The sequence below is a fragment of the Homo sapiens genome, chromosome X (genome assembly GCF_000001405.40).
Source record: "Homo sapiens chromosome X, GRCh38.p14 Primary Assembly".
Taxonomy (NCBI): Eukaryota; Metazoa; Chordata; class Mammalia; order Primates; family Hominidae; genus Homo; species Homo sapiens.
In genome coordinates, this window is record NC_000023.11 from 22,232,242 (window position 1) to 22,253,057 (window position 20,816).

The window sequence follows — 20,816 nt, forward strand, 5'->3', positions numbered from 1 at the left end:
TTCTATTGATTTGGGGTGGAGAGTTCTGTAGATGCCTATTAGGTCCACTTGGTCCAGAGCTGAGTTCAAGTTCTGGATATCCTTGTTAATTAATTTTCTGTCCATTTATCTAATATTGACAGTGGGGCGTAAAGTCTCCCACGATTATTGTGTCGGAGTCTAAGTCTCTTTGTAGGTCTCTAAGGACTTGCTTGATGAATCTGGGTGTTCCTGTATAGGGTGCATATATATTTAGGATAGTTAGCTCTTCTTGTTGCATTGACCCCTTTACGATTATGTAATGCTCTTCTTTGTCTCTTTTGATCTTTGTTCATTTAAAGTCTGTTTTATCAGAGATTAGGATTGCCACTTCTGCTTTTTTTTTTTTTTTTTTTTTTTTTTTTTTGCTTTCCATTTGCTTGGTAAATATTCCTCCATCCCTTTATTTATTTTGAGCCTATGTGTGTCTTTCTTTGCATGTGAGATGGGTTTCCTGAATACAGCACATTGATAGTTCTTGACTCTATCCAATTTGCCAGTCTGTGTCTTTTAATTGGGGCATTTAGCCCATTTACATTTAAGGTTAATATTGTTACGTGTGAATTTGATCCCGTCATTATGCTGCTACCTGGATATTTTACCCATTAGTTGATGCAGTTTCTTCATAGTGTTGATGGTCTTTCTTTACAATTTGGTGTTTTTCAGTGGCTGGTGCCAGTTGTTCCTTTCTGTGTTCAGTGCTTCTTTGAGGAGCTCTTGTAAGGAAGGCCTGGTGGTGACAAAATCTCTCAGCCTTTGCTTGTCTGTAAAGGATTTTATTTCTCCTTTGCTTATGAAGCTTAGTTTGGCTGGATATGAAATTGTGGGTTGAAAATTCTTTTCTTTTCTTTGAGATTGTTGAATATTGGCCCTCACTCTCTCCTGGCTTGTAGAGTTTGTGCTGAGAGAGATCCACTGTTTGTTAGCCTGATGGGCATCCCTTTGTGGGTAACCCGACCTTTCTCTCTGGCTCCCCTTAACTTTTTTTCCTCCATTTCAACCTTGGTGAATCTGACGATTATGTGTCTTGGGGTTGCTCTTCTCGAGGAGTATCTTAGTGGTGTTTTCTGTATTTCCTGAATTTGACTGTGGGCCTGTCTTGCTAGGGAGGGGAAGTTCTCCTGGATAATATCCTGAAGAGTGTTTTCCAACTTGGTTCCATTCTCCCCGTCACTTTCAGGTACACCAATCAAACGTAGATTTGGTCTTTTCACATAGTCCCATATTTCTTGGAGGCTTTGTTCATTTCATTTCACTCCTTCTTCTCTAATCTTGTCTTCTCGCTTTATTTCACTGAGTTGATCTTCAATCTCTGATATCCTTTCTTCCGCTTGATCAATTCGGCTATTGATACTTGTGTATGCTTCACAAAGTTCTCATGCTGTGTTTTTTAGCTCCATCAGGTCATTTGTGTTCTCCTCTAAACTGGTTATTCTAGCTAGCAATTCATCTAACCTGTTTTCAAGGTTCTTAGCTTCCTTGCATTGGGTTAGAACAATGCTCCTTTAGCTCGGAGAAGTTTGTTATCACCCACCTTCTGAAGCCTACTTCTGTCAATTCGTCAAAATCATTCTCCGTCCAGTTTTGTTCCCTTGCTGGCGAGGTGTTGTGATCCTTTGGAGGAGAGGAGGTATTTTGGTTTTTGTAACTTTTAGCCTCTTTGTGCTGGTTTCTCCCCATCTTTGTGGATTTATCTACCTTTGGTCTTTGATGTTGGTGACCTTCGGATGGGGTATTTTAGTAGACGTGCTGTTCCTTTCTGTTTGTTTGTTAGTTTTCCTTCTTACAAACAGGCTCCTCTGCTGCAGGTCTGCTGGAGGTGCACTCCAGACTCTGTTTACCTGGGTATCACCAGCAGAGGCTGCAGAACAGCAAAAATTGCTGCCTGTTCTTCCCTCCGGAAGCTTTGCCCCAGAGGGGCACCTGCCAGATGCCAGCCAGAGCTCTCCTGTATGAGATGTTTGTCGGCCCCTACCGGGAGGTGTCTCCCAGTCAGGATACACGGGGGTCAGGTACCCACTTGAGGAGGCAGTCTGACCCTTAGCAGAGCTCGACCACTGCGCTGGCTGTCAGGCAGGGACGTTTAAGTCTGCTGAAGCTGTGCCCACAGCTGCCCCTTCCCCCAAGTGCTCTGTCCTAGGGAGATGGGAGTTTTATCTATAATTCCCTGACTGGGGCTGTTGCCTTTTTTTTTTAGAGATGCCCTGCCCAGAGAGGTGACATCTGGCAGTCTGGCCACAGTGGCCGTGCTGAGCTGTGGTGGGCTCCTCCCAGTTCAAACTTCCTGGTGGCTTTGTTTACACTGTGAGGGTAAAACCACCTACTGAAGCCTCAGCATTGGGGAACGCCCCTTCCCCCCCCAAGCTCAAGTGTCCCAGGTCAATCTCAGACTGCTGCTGTACTGGCAGCGAGAATTTCAAGCCAGTGGATCTTAGCTTGCTGGGCTCTGTGGGGGTAGGACCCGCCAAGCCAGACCACTTGGCTCCCTGGCTTTAGAACCCCTTCTGACGGGAGTGAACGGTTCTGTCTTGCTGGCGTTCCCAGCACCAGTGGGGTATCAAAAAAAAAAAAAACCACACACACACACACAGAAAAACAACAACAATGAAACAACAAAAAACTCTTGCAGCTAGTTGGGTGTCTGCCCAAATGGCCACCCAGTTTTGTGCTGGAAACCCAGAGCCCTGGTGGGGTAGGCACTGGAGGGAATCTGGAATCTCCTCCTGTTCTGCAGGTTGCGAAGACCGTGGGGAAAGTGCAGTATCTGGACTGGAGTGCACGGTTCCTCAGGCTCAGTCCCTCATGGCTTCCCTTGGGTAGGGGAGAAAATTCCCCGACCCCTTGCACTTCCTGGGTGAGGTGACACCAGACCCTGCTTCGGCTTGCCCTCTGTGGCCTGCACCCACTGTCCAACCAGTCCCAATGAGATGAACTGGGTACCTCAGTTGGAAATGCAGAAATCACCCACTTACTTTCTGCATTGATTTGGCATTGATTTCGCTGGGAGCTGCAGTCCAGTGCTGTTCCTATTTGGCCATCTTCTAGTTCTTCTCGATGTTTCATACTTTTAAGTGCTTTTCAGATTTGACATCTTCTCTCCTGTTTTAGACAGTTTGGGCTGCTATAACAAAGTGTCATAGACTAGGTGGCTTATGAACAACAGAAATTTATCACAGTTCTGGAGGCTGGAAGTCTGCGATCAGAGTGCTAGTGGGATCGAGTTTTGGTGAGGGCTTTCTTCTGGGTTGCACACTGCCAATTTCTCTCTGTGTCCTCACATGGTGGAAAGAGCTAGCTAGCTCTCTGGCCTCTTCTTATAAGGGTACTAATCCCATTCCTGAGGGCTCCACCCTCATGATTTAATTGCCTCCCAAAGGCCCAACTCCTAATGCCATCACATTGATCAGGGCTTCAACATAAGAATTTTGGGGGATAGAAACATTTAGTCCATAGCATCCCCATTACCCTATCTTATCATATATAGTTAGTTATCATATATAGGCATAATCTTAATAAATATCCTCTACTCTGGATTATCCCAACAGCCTTATGGAATGTTAATCTGACTTCAGCATTTTTTTTTTTAACCACTGTTATACATACCATTGGAATACCACTTTTATTTCATTACCAACCTGCTGAAAGAACTACAGTGGCTCCCAAATGCCTACCACATTGAAGCCAAATACCTCCATCTGGCTTCCCAAATTTTCAGTATGATCCAACTCCACTCAATCCAATTCAATTTCCCATAACTAACTCCACTGGGTGAGAAAAAACTCAGCCTTAGTGGGGCAAGTATCCTCACTTCTACCCTACAATGTCATGCCCATTACTGTCTCTTTGGCTTTGCTTCTGATTCTCCTTCTATAATGCAACCCTTCCTACTCTTCCCCTTCAGATGATTATTCAATCTAAGCTTCATCCTTCAGGATCCATGTTGAGTTCCACTCCCTCCACATCTTCCATAAACTCTTCCCCAAGGACCCCAGTCCTTATTATTTTCTTTTATCTTCAACTCCTTTTATCTTTCTTACTTTCATTACCATGCAGTTGAGTACTTAACTGCTCTCCAAATGTTCAAGAATTTTAGTTTTATCTCCACAGCTAATCTTCTGGATCCTTACACTTCCTATCTCCATAGCACCCAGCAAAGATGCTGGGTATATTGAAGACAGTTGATATTTTTAGATCAATTGCTTGAAATGACTAAAACTAACAGTTCAACTAAGGAGACTCCCTTTTACTGGGTCAGATATATAAAATAAGTATACAAAAATAGAACTTTCTAGAGTTGGGATTGGCAAACTAGGGCCAAATATGGCCTGCTGCCTGTTTTTGTAAATAATGTTTTATTGGAAAGCAGCCACATTCCTTCATTTATTCATGATCTGTAGCTGGTTTTGTACTACAGTGGCAGAGTTGAATAATTGAAACAGGGACCTTATAGTCTTCAAAGCCTAAAATCTTTACCATCTGTCTCTTTTCAGAAAAAGTTTGCTAACCCCTGCTCTAGAGGACAAAGTATAGTGATCTATCAATCAGTTCTTACTATTTACATCCTAGCCCACAATATCTCTTTGTAGATAAAATAAACTAATTGATTGATAGTGAAGTTACTTATAATTCTGAAATGTTTCCAGATATAATACCAAACTAAACTATAGCTGACTGATTTATTGTAAACTAAAGAGATAGATAGATAGATTTAGGGGGGAAAAGTGGAAAGCTATTTTATATCTTATATCACTAGTGAGAAATTTATCTTGGAGCTTTTCCCACTGACAGAATGAAGAGATTTTTCAGTCTTTTGCACTTTAAAGTAAGTCTGCTTATAAGGAGTAAAATTACTTTCCCTCCTGGGAAGGTACTAAGAAAACAGTAGCAGGCATAATGTGTTTTCAGAAGTCTCTTAAGTGATATATTAAGCAAAGACAATACTATATTAGAGTATAAGAATATAGGAAGAAATAAGAAATGAGGTAAAATCAAATGCCAGAAACAACTTCATATTAGCCAGCTTCTGAGGAAATCAAGGGATCGCATTACAAAACATCATCTTCAAAGTCAAATTCAGAACCACTGTGACTGGTGGTTTATCTTCATCAAAAGCAACAACATCATATCACCTTTCCTGCTTTCTATGTCCCTGTAGTTGCTGTGACCTCTCATTTTTCTCAGATATTCTTCTAATCCTTCTACTTCTTTCCATTCTATTTTCTACTTATTTAGTGGACATCCATTGAGAACCTTCCTGGTATCTATAAATAATCTAACTAGCCTCTAATTTCTTCCTTCCACTATACACCCCTGCCAGATAAATCTTTTTCAAAATCTGGGTTTTATTATTTTCCTACTCAAGAATGACTTTTAAATATAGTTTAAACGCTCTGACCAACTGCTCAGGACTTCAGAAATCTGACACTGTCCTTCCTCTCCCACTGCTGCCCGTTAGGCATCATATACTCCAGCCTAGCTGAATGTCTGGTTCTCTTTCCCCTCAAACATGTCTTTGTTCCCATTTCCCCCTCCACTTAGAATATTTTTTTCCATATTTATGTGTCCTAGTTCAATTCACACTTGAAGACCATATCATACCTCAAGTCATATGGCAAGTCAGGATTAAAGTAAGTAAGTTATGCTGCAGAAACAACACGACAAAGTTTATTTCTTGTTCACTCTCCATGTCCAACATGAGTCAGCAGTGGGGCTCTTGTAGTTTTTCATCAAGAAGTTGGGTTTTGGGCCGGGCATGGCCTGTAATCCCAGCACTTTGGGAGGCCGAGGCGGGTGGATTGCCTGAGGTGAGGAGTTAGTTAGTTTGAGACCAGCCTGGCCAACATGGCAAAACCCCATCTCTACTAAAAAAATACAAAAATTAGGCAAGATGGCTTAATAGGAACAGCTCTGGTCTGCAGCTCCCAGCAGGATTGACACAGAAGGCGGGTGATTTCTGCATTTCCAACTGAGGTACCCGGTTCATCTCACTGGGACTGGTTGGACAGTGGGTGCAGCCCACGGAGGGTGAGCCAAAGCAGGGTGGGACGTCACTTCACCCGGGAAGCACAAGGGGTTGGGGGATTTCCTGTTCCTAGCCAAGGGAAGCCATGAGAGACTTTACCAGGAGGAACAGTGCACTCCAGCCCAGCTACTGCGCATTTCCCACAGTCTTCGCAACTGGCAGACCAGGAGATTCCTTACAGTACCGGGCTCGGTGCATCCCACCCCCATGGAGCCCAGCAAGCTGAGATCCACTGGCTTGAAATTGTCACTGCTAGCACAGCAGTCTGAAGTTGACCTGGGATGCTTAAGCTTGGAGTTGGGAGGGGCATCCGCCATTGCTGAGGCTTGAGTAGGCTGTTTTACCCTCACAGTGTAAACAAAGCCACTGGGAAGTTTGAACTAGGTAGAGCCCACAGCAGTTCAGCAAGGCCACTGTGACCAGACTGCCTCTCTAGGCAGAGCATCTCTGAAAAGCAGCAGCCCCAGTCAGGGAATTATAGGTAAAACCCCCATCTCCCTGGGACAGAGCATCTAGGGGAAGGGGCAGCTGTGGGCACAGCTTCAGCAGACTTAAACGTCCCTGCCTGACAGCCAGCACAGCGGTCGAGCTCTGCTAAGGGTCAGACTGCCTCCTCAAGTGGGTCCCGGACCCCCGTGTATCCTGGCTGGGAGATACCTCCCAGTAAGGGCTGACAAACATCTCATACAGGAGAGCTCTCACTAGCATCTGGCAGGTGCCCCTCTGTGGACAAAGCTTCCAGAGGAAGGAACAGGCAGCAATCTTTGCTCTTCTGTGTAGACTTCACTGGTGATACCTAGCCAAACAGGGTCTGGAGAGGACCTCCAGCAAACTCCAGCAGACCTACAGCAGAGGAGCCCTGAGTTAGAAGGAAAACTGACAAACAAACAGAAAGGAATAGTAGCAACATCAACAAAAAGGATGTCCGATCAGAGACCATATCCGAAGGTCACCAGCATCAAAGACCAAAGGTAGATAAATCCACGAGGATGGGGAGAAACCAGTGCAAAAAGGCTGAAAACTCCAAAACCCAGAACGCCTCTTCTCCTTCAAAGGATCACAACTCCTCGCCAGCAAGGGAACAAAACTGGACGGAGAAAGAATGATTTTGATGAATTGACAGAAGTAGGCTTCAGAAGGCGGGTGACAACAGACTCCTCCGAGGTAAAGGAGCATGTTCTAACCCATTGCAAGGAAGCTAAGAACCTTGAAAACAGGTTAGAGGAACTGCTAACTAGAATAACCAGTTTAGAGGAGAACATAAATGACTTGATGGAGCTGAAAAACACAGCACGAGAACTTTGTGAAGCATACACAAGTATCAATAGCCGAACTGATCAAGCGGAAGAAAGGATATCAGAGATTGAAGATCAACTCAATGAAATAAAGTGAGAAGACAAGATTAGAGAAAAAAGAGTTAAAAGAAATGAACAAAGCCTCCAAGAAATATGGGACTCTGTGAAAAGACCAAATCTACATTTGATGGGTGTACCTGAAAGTGACGGGGAGAATGGAACCAAGTTGGAAAACACTCTTCAGGATATTATCCAGGAGAACGTCCCCAACCTAACAAGGCAGGCCAACATTCAAATTCAGGAAATACAGAGAACACCGCAAAAATATTCCTCGAAAAGAGCAACCCAAGACATATAATCATCAGATTTACCAAGGTTGAAATGAAGGAAAAAAGGTTAAGGGGAGCCAGAGAGAAAGGTCGGGTTACCCACAAAGGGATGCCCATCAGACTAACAAAGGATATTTCGGCAGAAACCCTACAAGCCAGAAGAGAGAGGGGGCAAGTATTCAACAATTTCAAAGAAAAGAATTTTCAACCCACAATTTCATATCCAGCCAAACTAAGCTTCATAAGCAAAGGAGAAATAAAATCCTTTACAGACAAGCAAAGGCTGAGAGATTTTGTCACCACCAGGCCTGCCTTACAAGAGCTCCGCAAAGAAGCACTGAACACAGAAAGGAACAACTGGTACCAGCCACTGAAAAACACCAAATTGTAAAGACCATCAACACTATGAAGAAACTGCATCAACTAATGGGCAAAATATCCAGGTAGCAGCATAATGACAGGATCAAATTCACACATAACAATATTGACCTTAAATGTAAAGGGGCTAAATGCCCCAATTAAAAGACACAGACTGGCAAATTGGATAAAGAGTCAAGACCCATCAGTGTGCTGTATTCAGGAAACCCATCTCACTTGCAGAGACACACATAGACTCAAAATAAAGGGATGGAGGAAGATCTACCAAGCAAATGGAAAGCAAAAAACAAAAACAAACAAAAAAAAAACAGAGGTTGCAATCCTAGTCTCTGATAAAACAGACTTTAATCCAACAAAGATCAAAAGAGACAAAGAAAGAAGAGCATTACATAATGGTAAAGGGGTCAATGCAGCATGAAGAGCTAACTATCCTAAATATATATGCACCCAATACAGGAGTACCCAGATTCATAAAGCAAGTTCTCAGAGACCTACAAAGAGACTTAGATTCCCAAACAGTAACAGTGGGAGACTTTAACACCCCACTGTCAACACTACTGCCAACACTAGACAGATTGAGACAAAATTAATTAACAAGGATATCCAGGGCTTGAACTCAGCTCTGGACCAAGTGGACCTAACAGGCATCTACAGAACTGTCCATCCCAAATCAAATCAACAGAATATACATTCTTCTCAGCACCACATCACACTTATTCCAAAATTGACCACATAGTTGGAGGTAAAACACTTCTCAGCAAATGCAAAAGAATGAAAATCATAACAAACAGTCTCTCAGACCACAGTGCAAACAAATTAGAACTCAGGATTAAGAAACTCACTCAAAACTCCCCAACTACATGGAAACTGAACAACCTGCACCTGAATGACTATTAGGTAAATAACAAAATGAAGGCAGAAATAAAGATGTTCTTTGAAACTAACGAGAACAAAGACACAACGTACCTGAATCTCTGGGACACATTTAAAGCAGTGTGTAGAAAGAAATTTATAACACTAAATGCCCACAAGAGAAAGCAGGAAAGATCTAAAATTGACACCCTAACATCACAATTAAAAGTACTAGAGAAGCAAGAGCAAACAAATTCAAAAGCCAGCAGAAAACAAGAAATAACTAAGATCAGAGCAGAACGGAAGGAGATAGAGACATGAAAAACCCTTCAAAACATCAATGGATCCAGGAGCTGGCTTTTCAAAAAGATCAACAAAATAGACCACTAGCCAGACTAATAAAGAATAAAAGAGGGAAGAATGAAATAGACGCAATAAAAAATGATAAAGGCGACATCACCACCGATCCCACAGAAATACAGTCTACCATCAGAGAATACTATAAACACCTCTATGCAAATAAACTAGAAAATCTAGAAGAAATGGATAAATTCCTGGGCACATACACCCTCCCAAGACTAAACCAGGCAGAAGTTGAATCCCTGAATAGACCAATAACAAGTTCTGAAATTGAGGTAGCAATTAATAGCCTACTAACCAAAAAAAAGTTGTTGAGGACCAGACAGGTTCACAGCCGAATTCGACCAGAGGTACAAAGAGGAGCTGGCACCATTCCTTCTGAAACTATTCCAAACAATAGAAAGAGAGGGAACCCTTCCTAACTCATTTTATGAGGCCAGCGTGATCCTGATACCAAAACCTGGCAGAGACACAACAAAAAAAGAGAATTTTAGACCAATATCCCTGATGAACATCAAGGCAAAAATCCTCAGTAAGATATTGGCAAACTGAATCCAGTGGCACATCAAAAAGCTTATCCACCACAACCAAGTTGGCTTCATACCTGGGATGCAAGGCTGGTTCAACATATGCAAATCAATAAACATAATCCATCACATACACAGAACCAATGACAAAAACCACACGATTATTTCAATAGATGCAGAAAAGGCATTTGACAAAATTCAACACCCCTTGATGCTAAAAACTCTCAATAAACTAGGTATCGATGGAACGTATCTCAAAATAATAAGAGCTATTTATGACAAACCCACAGCCAATATCATACTGATTGGGCAAAAACTGGAAGCATTCCCTTTGAAAACCAGCACAAGACAAGGATGCCCTCTCTCACCACTCCTATTCAACATAGTGTTGGAAGTTCTGGCCAGGGCAATCAGGCAAGAGAAATAAAGGGTATTCAAATAGGAAGAAAGGAAGTCAGATTGTCTCTGTTTGCAGATGACATGATGGATTGTATATTAAGAAAACCCCATCGTCTCAGCCCAAAATCTCCTTAAGCTGATAAGCAACTTCAGCAAAGTCTCAGGATACAAAATCAATGTGCAAAAATCCCAAGCATTCCTATACACCAATAACAGACAAACAGAGAGCCAAATCATGAGTCAACTCCCATTCACAATTGCCACTAAGAGAATAAAATACCTAGGAATACAACTTACAAGGGATGTGAAGGACCTCTTCAAGGAGAACTACAAACCACTGCTCAACAAAATAAAAAGAGGACACAAACAAATGGAAGAACATTCCATGCTCATGGATAGGAAGAATCAATATCGTGAAAATGGCCATACTGCTCAAGGTAATCTATAGATTCAATGCCAACCCCATCAAGCTACCAATGACTTTCTTCACAGAATTGGAAAAAACTTACTTTAAACTTCATATGGAACCAAAAAGGAGCCCATATAACCAAGACAGTCCTGGGCAAGAAGAACAAAGCTGGAGGCATCACACTACCTGACTTTAAACTTTACTGCAAGGCTGCGGTAACCAAAACAGCATGGTACTGGTACCAAAACAGATATGTAGACCAGTGGAATAGAACAGAGCCCTCAGAAATAACACCACACATCTACCACCATCTGATCTTTGACAAACCTGACAAAAACAAGAAATGGGGAAAAGATTCTGTATTTAATAAATGGTGTTGGGAAAACTGGCTCGCCATATGCAGAAAACTGAACCTGGACCCCTTCCTTACACCTTAAACAAAAAATCAACTCAAGATGGACCAAAGACTTAAATGTAAGACCTAGGACCATAAAAATCCTAGAAGAAAACCTGGGCAATACCATTCAGGACATAGGCATGGGCAAGGACTTTATGTCTAAAACACCAAAATCGATGGCAACAAAAGCCAAAATTGACAAATGGAATCTAATTAAGCTAAAGAGCTTCTGCACAGCAAAAGAAACTATCATCAGAGTGAACAGGCAACCTAGAGGATGGGAGAAACTTTTTGCAATCTACCCATCTGACAAAGGGCTAATATCCAGAATCTACAAAGGACTTACACAAATTTACAAGAAAAAAACAACCCCATGAAAAAGTGAGTGAAGGGTATGAACAGACACTTCTTAAAAGAAGACATTTATGCAGCCAACAAACATATGAAAAATGCTCATTTTCACTGGTCATTAGAGAAATGCAAATCAATCAAAACCACTATGAGATACCATCTCATGCCAGTGAGAATGGCGATCATTGGAAAGCCAGGAAACAACAGATGCTGGAGAGAATGTGGAGAAATAGGAACGCTTTTACATTGTTGGTGGGAGCGTAAACTAGTTCAACCATTGTGGAAGACAGTGTGGCGATTCCTCAAGGATCTAGAACCAGAAATACCATTTGACCCAGCAATCCCATTACTGGGTATATACCGAAATAATTTTAAATCACTCTACTATAAAGACACCATGCATACGTATGTTTATTGCGGCACTGTTCACAATAGCAAAGACTGGGAACCAACCCAAATGCCCATCAGTGATGGACTGGATAAAGAAAATGTGGCACATATACACCATGGAATACTATGCAGCCATAAAAAAGAATGAGCTCATGTTCTTTGCAGGGACATGGATGAAGCTGGAAGCTATCATTCTCAGCAAACTAACACAGGAACAGAAAACCAAACACCACATGTTCTCACTCATAAATGGGAGTTGAACAATGAGAACACATGGACACAGGGAGGGGAACATCACACACCAGGGCCTGTCCAGGGGGTCGGGGGCTAAGGGAGGGATAGCATTAGGAGAAATGCCTAATGTAGATGACGGGTTGACGGGTCCAGTAAACCATCATGGCACATGTATACCTATGTAAGAAGCTTCCACGTTCTGCACATGTACCCCAGAATTTAAAGTATAATAAAAAAAAAAATACAAAAATTAGCTGGGCGTGGCGGTGTGCACCTGTAATCCCAGGTACTTGGGAGGCTGAGGCAGGAGAATCGCTTGAACCCAGGAGGTGGAGGTTGCAGTGAGCCAAGATTGCGCCATTGCACTCCAGCCTGGGTGACGGAGCGAGACTCCATGTCAAACCAAACAAACAAACAAAAAACTTGGGTTTTAGAGTCTATATCTTGGCATGTGCTTCTGTGGATACCACAGGAGTAGAAAAGACATACGAGGATATGTGCACTGGCCGTTAGTGTAGCATCTTAAATTGTTCTTAAGGCTCTTAAAACTTCTGTCAGGTTTTAAAGCTTCTGCCAGGAAGTAACATATATTACTTCTGCTTCTGCTCACACTTCATTGGCCAGAACAAGCCATATCGCCATGCCCAACTTCAAAGGAGATGGAGAAGTGTACTTCAGTCCTAGGCCCAGACTAGGGTGAAGCGAGCAAGGCACTCAGGGGCAGACTACTAACTTCTCATCACCATCCTCAATAATGGGTGGCTGACTCATTTTATTGATTTGAATGAGTATGGTTAAATTTGAGAAGGACTATTTCAAACATTAAATTCATTGAATGAATACACTGGTCGATTCCTGGGCACATATACGATTCTCTTGATTTAAAGCACTTGTCTGGAAACCTTTCTCACTTACTCAAATTGTGAAATTATTCACATTGATAAAACCTTCTACTCTGGGGATCAGAATAATAGATGTTATTACAGATGACGGTTTTATTTGATCTTCTAAAACTGTTTGTCATCCATTGGTTCTAAAATTGTTCCTCAGTATAATTTGGAGCAGTTAAAACAGCAGAAAATACATAATTGGAATGAAAGCTCATTTGTTGGGATGCTTTTCTCTTCTAGGTGAGGTGCAATTCCTACAGACCAGAAGCTGCCCGAGAACAAGTCCAAATTGGTGCTCACAGTCCCCCTCAGTTTAGGTAAATGGGCAAATGGGTGACGGCAGTTTTTAACTGTACATCTCCCCCCTTCCTCCCCCACCCAGCCATCCAAGGGCTCTACCAGATAGGTGATCTGAAAAAAATCCCACATTGTGGACGTGTGATTTCCATTTTGCAGCCAAAAAATATCTGGCCACACGGAAACTAAATATCTTCTTTCATTAGTAGTAAGCTGGTTTAGTCAGCACTCTCTCACCTGAATTTCTGCTGATGGTACCTGTACATATCTAGTCTAGTGCTACATCAAGTGCCAGTGAGACTATACAAGACTCCAGAGGTAATTCGGAATCCGAATCATAGCTTTAGTATTACATCCCATTATCTTCTAGTTTTTGAAAGAGTCTCAGTAAACTGCATTATTGGACTTACTCAACTGCTTACTTTTTTGTCCAAAAAAATAGCCTTTATTGTCTTAGGAAAGGATGAGATTTGATGTACTCTGCCTTAAAACACCTAGCGCTCTGGTTTATTTTGTTTTAAAGAATATCCCCTTTAATACCTCTTGTTCTTTCACACAGTCAACCAGCAAACATGAATGAATGGCCACTTTCTAAATAGCTCTGAACACAAAGGAGGATACAAAGTATTATTCAGCAATTATAATTTATATCTAGAGTTAGAGAGTCTACATTTTGGCTTTCAGGTGGGATCATATTTTGAAACGGTAGCTTATACAAAAAAGGAAAAGGATTATGAATTGCAGTCTTATTTGTCAGAATGTATAAAACATTAAGTACAAATAAAATTAAAAGTTAATATTACTCACCCTGTACTCGGTCGTACAGGTTGACAGAAATTTTCTATAGTACCGGAAAGATAAGTATGATGAGAAACCCAAAAACCATAATAATTTATATGTATTCATTCTTTGTTTAGGGCATTATATCTGGATATCTTTATATTTAATGTTTAAACAGATCCATTAGCATATTGCAAGAAAGCCATCTAAAATTTCTTCTATATGTTAAAATCTTATTCTTAAGATCTTGCCTTAGAAATGCTTCAGAAATTGACTATAAATTACCCACTAGCATAAAAATCTAATCACTATGTTGGAAATTTCTCCCCCACTGGGCTAAACTGTCATGAAGGCTGACGGTCTCGAACGTACTAAAATGTGTTCCCACTGACCAATGGTGCAGATGAACTCACACAGTAGATTAATTACTCAACAGATAAGTTTTCAGAAACTTATTTCCTTTAACTAGTTGCCTGTAATGTTGAATTTTACAGTGCATGCTTACTAATTATCAACTGTATTCTATCTTTAACACTTGCCTAGGGTGAATCACACTATGAAATATGCATCCCTACCCATATATTCAGCTAAAACAACAAGAGGTTATGAGGATTTTTTGGATACAGTCCATTACATTTATGCAAATGCCCGTAGGTAACAAAGTCATTAGGGAAGAAATAGTCAGGGACTGAGAATGCTGAGTCTCTAGTCAACCCTTTGAACACGGAGTTGAGTAAGAAATAGAAGGGGGGAAGTTTTTTGTGTGTGTGTGTGCTGGCTTGTTACTGAGGTCTGCAGTAACTATAGATTTTGAGTGCAGCAGAAATCACACAATGGCAATACCACTTCCAAAAGGCAGCTACAATCAAAGTGCTGAGTAGGAATCCAGTCTTTGCTGTAGTTGGAAGCCTGTAAGAATGTGACATATTGGAGCTAACTCCAGTGAAGAATTATCAGTAATAACTAGATACCATTCATTAATTGACTGATTGTTGCATTAATCAAATTCTGGGCAACTGTGAGCTTCCCATACCTAACACTAATTCAGAGAAAATGTTTTGCAGATTGAATGAATTCTTTAAAAATAGCTGGAAATGCAACAACATGGATGACTCTTATAGACATTATATTCAGTGAAAGAAATCAAAGACCAAACAGTACATACCATGGATTCCATTCACATGAAGTTCAAAATCAGGCAAAGCTATGGCAATAGAAGTCAGAATAGTAGGTTATCTTGGGAGATGCTGTTGGTATGGAACAGGCAGGAGCCTTCTGGGTGCTGGAATGTCTTGATCTGGCAGATAGTAATATGGGCATATACACACAAAAACTGGCAAGTCCTACGTTTAATATTTTGCATACTTTATGTCAGTTATACTTTCCATAAAGTTTTTAAAAAGTTAGAAAAACTAATATTGGTGATGATACAGTTTTAAAAGAATTTTGAAGACTGTTCGAAGAGTAATAGGGGCATGTGCTTGGCATTCAGGAGATGCTGGATCTAGTCTGTTAATTTTTTCTGGAAATTTACTTAATCATTTTGGGCTTTAGTTGTCTCCCTGTAAACAGATTAAAAGAATGCCAACCTTCTTTCTAGCAATATTCTGCTACAGTTTTATACAGAACCTGTTGATGTGCAAGAATTATATGACATATGCTTTGACATATCGTTTTTCAGGGTCAATGGTGCAATTAGTAACTTTGAAGAATTCCAGAAAGCTTTTAACTGTCCACCCAATTCCACGATGAACAGAGGCATGGACTCCTGCCGACTCTGGTAGCTGGGACGCTGGTTTATGGCATCCTGAGACAGTTGCACAGTGCCAGCGGAGGCTGCACTGAGCCTTCATCGCCCATTGCTTTAGGCCTGGAGACTTTCATTTTTAGTGCATTTTCATTATTTGGGTAGGTGACCTGCTTGGATCTAGACAGCATCTGTTCAAAGTTGTAGGGCTTATAAAGTGGAATATAAGAATGAACTAAGTATGTTTCTTTAGAAAATCAAACCAACAAAAATAAATCCCTAGGCTACTTTTGTTAAAATGCTATCTGCTAAATTGTTGCTATTGTCCATTTTAGGGTGTTGGCCACAGTTATGTGGTACATAGCATTTCAATCTATAGCTTTGTGGGAAGCCTAAATTGATGTATCCTTTAAAAGTTCAATCTATTAAACTTGTAGCCTCTCAATGATGAAGACATGTGCATGAATACCTGGGAGGGCTTGCTGCTCTGTGGAATGCAGTGCACGTTTTTATGGACAGTAATTACACAGCATTCCTCAACTGTAAGGTAGTTAAATTAGAAATATGTTTGATCTCCATTTTACACTTTTTGATGAAGTTCTTGCCTTCAGCTTTGGAGTCTGTTGGAATGAAACTGTGTCTCACAGCTTGCATCTGATGTAGCAGATTGCCCTGTTCAAGTCAGCATGAACAAAGCTCGCAGAAAGGCTACTAGGTAACGGATTTGAGTTTATTCAGTAGAAAAAAAGGGAATGAGGACATATCTTTAGGTCCCAGAAGCAGCAAAACCTCCTAGTTACATAACAGCAGGGAAACTAGGAGATGAAATCTCCAAAATTTTGTCCAGTCTGTATGAACTGCAGTGATTGTCTGTCTGCTAGACACTTTTTTTTAGCCTAATTCTTGTTCGTTTCATTACCTTCATATGTGTGCATTGTACTGGTTTTGAAATGAGCAGACATTGAGAAAACAATTTTCTGATTCCCCATTAGGAACATATGATTTTCATTTCCCTTTAGTGCAAAGGAACAAACATCACATTGAGGAGGGAGAAGTGTACCCTTCTTTTTCAGCTTAATGTTACCTCTCTTTAAAAAAAAAACATTTTTGAAAAATTTCTTGACTGATGACATTCTAGAATTTATTGATTCAATTTAAAATTCCCTGCATAGTCCAAATAAACATAATTTTTACTCTTCAAGTCATCTAAAGAGTTGTGAGAAAGAGCAGTACTATGTGTTTTATCCTTAGAGCATTATCCTTCTAAGTGAACTCCTTTCTTATTACTGAGCGTGTGTGTGTGTGTGTGTGTGTGTGTGTGTGTAGGATAAAATTGTAATGGCCTTAAAGTTGTTACCTGGCATTTTTGGTTTCTTAAAATAGGCATCCCCCTACTCCCTTTACATTATTCATTAGACATGAGGTGCTGGGTTAAGTGGGCCAATAGGAAAATCTCAAAAGCAAAATGACAAATTCAGATTAACCACAGGAAGCCATTGTGTGTCCCTGTGATTTGTGATTCTTTTAAAAAAAAAAAAAATATATATATATATATATATATATATATATATGTATATCTACCTAAGTGTGTGCCATGTCCTTTTGTAGCCATGGGAACGTTTGAATGGAGAAAAATGGAGGGGCACCATCATGAGGAAACAATTATACTGCATTAGTCAGAGGAGAGCGATTTTCCCTTTGACTTCTTCCTCTCTGAATGGATAAACTTGTGAAGGGCAGCTACCTTGTCCTCCTCTTAACCTGGCTTAATGTGACCTTAGTTTGTATTTCCAAAAACAAGCAGTATTAGGTTGGAATTGTATGTGTCTTTTCTCTGGAGGAAGCATTCTGACTTGGTTTAGACATATAAGATACTCTGTTTTATTCCTGGACTTGGGTGTTTAAAATCAGCTGAGGTTTATCATGCTTATATGAATAGTGTTTCCCTTCTAGATTTCCTTTATAAACTCCAAATAAACACATTCCTGCAGGTCAGAGAAAGTGTTTGATAAAAGCATAGAATTATGGCTTTGGAAAGACAAACTAAGTCACTTGTTGGTTTAGCAAAACTGGTTGGTGATTAGTTGGGGCCCTCACAGTTTCTAGATGAGAAGCTTACCTTATCCTGATTAACTTTACTTGCTGTAACTGTTATACCGAAAATTGTAGGTAGGATGTCCATTACTCAAACAAAGCAGAACAAAACAACAAACCAAAAGCAGCAATACCAAATCATCACTACTAGCTAGAACAATGAGAAGGATTGAATTTCCAAATACATGCTTATGTTTAACTCAACTCTTCCAATTACATTCTCATTGTCCTTTCTCTTGGATACCGATTGCTAAGATAAACAGACACTGATTAAGTGGTAGAAAGAGAAAGGTAAAATGCAACTGGAAGGGAAAGAAAAAAGTAGGGAGAAGCTGGCCTATGGATGTGGCTTTGAAGAGAAGACAGGATTTTGGCATTCCTTGCTAAGCACGTTCAATGGAGGAGAGCCATGAAGTTTTACAAAAATAATTATGGTAAATTAAAAGGATATTAGATATTGGATCTCAGACTAGGGCTGCTATAATACAGTTCTCTGATTCGCACACCAGATGTTCTGCCAGCGAACTGTTGTCTGGGCATTGGAAGGAGTTAGGTTTTTTGTGTTTGTGAAAATCTCCTGGATTAGTAAAAAAATTTTCTAGATATAAAGTGGTTTTATTTGGGCTCATGACCATTGCCCAAAGTGTACTGAGCTTTTCACTAAGTGCTCAGCATTGGCCTCCTGTTCTCATTTATTCATTTTATGAGATGGACTTGGACATCACTAATGCAAACACAGGATTCATAAATTATTCTGAAGTTTATTTAGTGCCTTGCCTCAATGGAGCTTAAAGCATAGCACATAAATTTTATCTTATTTAGCCCTGGAGCATCACTAAGAAGCAGCTAGGAACTATGGCTTGCCAGACAGATTATGCTTGTGCCAGAGAAGTGGAGAAGCCTGAAATCCCTTGTCAAGTATTCCACAGGAAGGAAAGGTAGTCTTTGGGCTTTGGTCTACTGACCTGTGGATTAAACTCTATCCCTTAGATTATCCCATTTCTAAATACATTTATTCAATCAGTATTTCTATAATCACTTAGCATTTGATAGGCTTCTTCCTTGATACATTTAACATAACGCCTCAGTTGCATATTACATTATGGAAGAATATACGATTGCTTCATATAACAACATTCTCATCACCAGTGACAGTGTCCTACTGGTTTGAAGAAAGATATTCTTGGATTATGTGTTTTATATCTAAATGGTTATTCTGAGACTGGTTGTATTTTCTTCTCCTACTCGTGAAACGATGTGAACAAGCATTTTAAGGACAATAAAAAGTTAGCTGGTTGAAGGCTTTCTGTGTCTTTCTTTTTTAAAAATATTAAAATCTATTAGATCTGTTAACATATTCCGTCCTGTTTTACACAACATTTGCCAAAAAATAGTGTACAATAACTATACTTACTAGCTTTCTTGGCTTAGAAAAGTGAGATTTGAATGCAGTAACTTTCTCCATAGACAAGAAGGTATTTAAGAGGTTGTCATTATATTTTCTTCCAGAATGTAAGTCAGCAGATACGGTTTATTGCCTTTGTAATAATATTTCTATAGAGAAAGTGATGCCTCTGAGGAAATTATCAGCGATGACAGGGGATAGGGCTGATCTCACAAAAGTGACAATGAACATCACAGTTACTATCAAATCAAACAATCTCTGTGTTATCATCATTCTTTAACAATCCAGTCAATTTATAGTTATTCATTCAGCACACAGTAACTGAGCACCCATTATATTTAAATCACCAAACTAGCTATATTTAGGTGGATAATATACAGTGTCTGGGCTTCAGTGAACAGTCTGGTCTAACATGGGAGATGGATATATAAACTGTTTCAATTACCCTACTGAGTGATTATGATATATAAGTAAATCAGGTTGTGGTTTGGAACACAGAGAAAGAATTCTTCAACTTTTGTCTGGTGGATACTATTGGTGTTTCCTCTGCGCAGATCCCAGCAAATTCCTTTTACTGGGTGGCCTTATCTCATCTTCGGTCTGCTTTTGTTTCTAATTGGCTGTGGCTCTCTAGGATGGCTGCCCTCATGCTACTGGAGCCTCTTTGCCCAATGCACTTTCAGAGAACTGGAAGTGCCTCGTGACCCTTAGACAGTGACTGAGTGGTATGGGACTCCGCATGCCTGACTACCTCCCGGAGTTCAGACAAATCCAGAGGCATACAATAGAATTTATACTGATTTCTCTGTGGTGTCTTTCTTTTAGCATTATGCTGACAGTGCAAATTGAGTCCCCTGTTGATTAAACACCTTTCTGGCACTGATATGTTCTAAGATCTGGAAAAGGCCGGGTGCAGTGGCTTACGCCTGTAATCCCAGCACTTTGGGAGGCCGAGGTGGGTGGATCACGAGGTCAGGAGATCGAGACCATCTTGGCTAACACAGTGAAACCCCGTCTCTACTAAAAATACAAAAAATTAGCCGGGCGTGGTGGCGGATGCCTGTAGTCCCAGCTACTTGGGAGGCTGAGGCAGGAGAATGGCGTGAACCCGGGAGGCGGAGCTTGCAGTGAGTCAAGATCACGCCACTGCACTCCAGCCTGGGCGACAGAGCGAGACTCCGTCTCAAAAAAAAAAAAAAAAAAAGATCTGGAAAAGTAATGGTTTGTAGGATCCTAGGTCAGCCCTTCTGTGTAGTAGGTCATATCATCATCATGTACAGGAAATGGACATCAGATGGCACAGACTGTGGGTAATAAGTAGCTGAGTATGGCCTGTTTGTGCCCTTCTTGGAGAGTTTATCCTAGTTTCTGAGCTGATCCATGAAATGGGAATTTTTGTGTATAGGGAAGTGGCACAAGGAAAGATGCATATAAATGACAGTGTTACATATGTATCTAAGTGGACCTGATCAAAATTTGCAAGAGGCTGTTTCCAATTAGGTTTAAGATATTTGCATGTGCCTCAAGTTCACTCGCTTTTTTTTATTAAGATCACACTAGCTGTAGAAACAGATAATGGCTTAACCCAATTTATTTCTTGTTTTCATTACATACATAATGGATATTAATTATCAGTGAGTTT

The 20,816-nt window shown here is 40.6% G+C and overlaps 1 protein-coding gene and 1 long non-coding RNA gene across 7 annotated transcripts in view; one reads left to right on the top strand and one right to left on the bottom strand.

Annotated features, from left to right (window-relative positions):
• PHEX (phosphate regulating endopeptidase X-linked) overlaps nt 1–19,069 on the top strand; it is a 218,986-nt gene extending 199,917 nt beyond the window's left edge. For 5 of the 6 annotated variants that reach the window (NM_000444.6, XM_024452390.2, XM_017029579.2 and 2 more), the window contains 2 exons: nt 13,092–13,168; nt 15,610–19,069. In NM_000444.6, the coding sequence (NP_000435.3) occupies nt 13,092–13,168; nt 15,610–15,712 (180 nt within the window). In that variant the 3' untranslated portion in view covers nt 15,713–19,069. The remainder of the gene's footprint in view (nt 1–13,091; nt 13,169–15,609) is intronic. The other variant, NM_001282754.2, reaches the window with a different exon arrangement.
• PTCHD1-AS (PTCHD1 and PHEX antisense RNA) overlaps nt 1–20,816 on the bottom strand; it is a 1,100,142-nt gene that overhangs the window by 39,237 nt on the left and 1,040,089 nt on the right. The gene's annotated exons all lie outside the window — the stretch shown is intronic.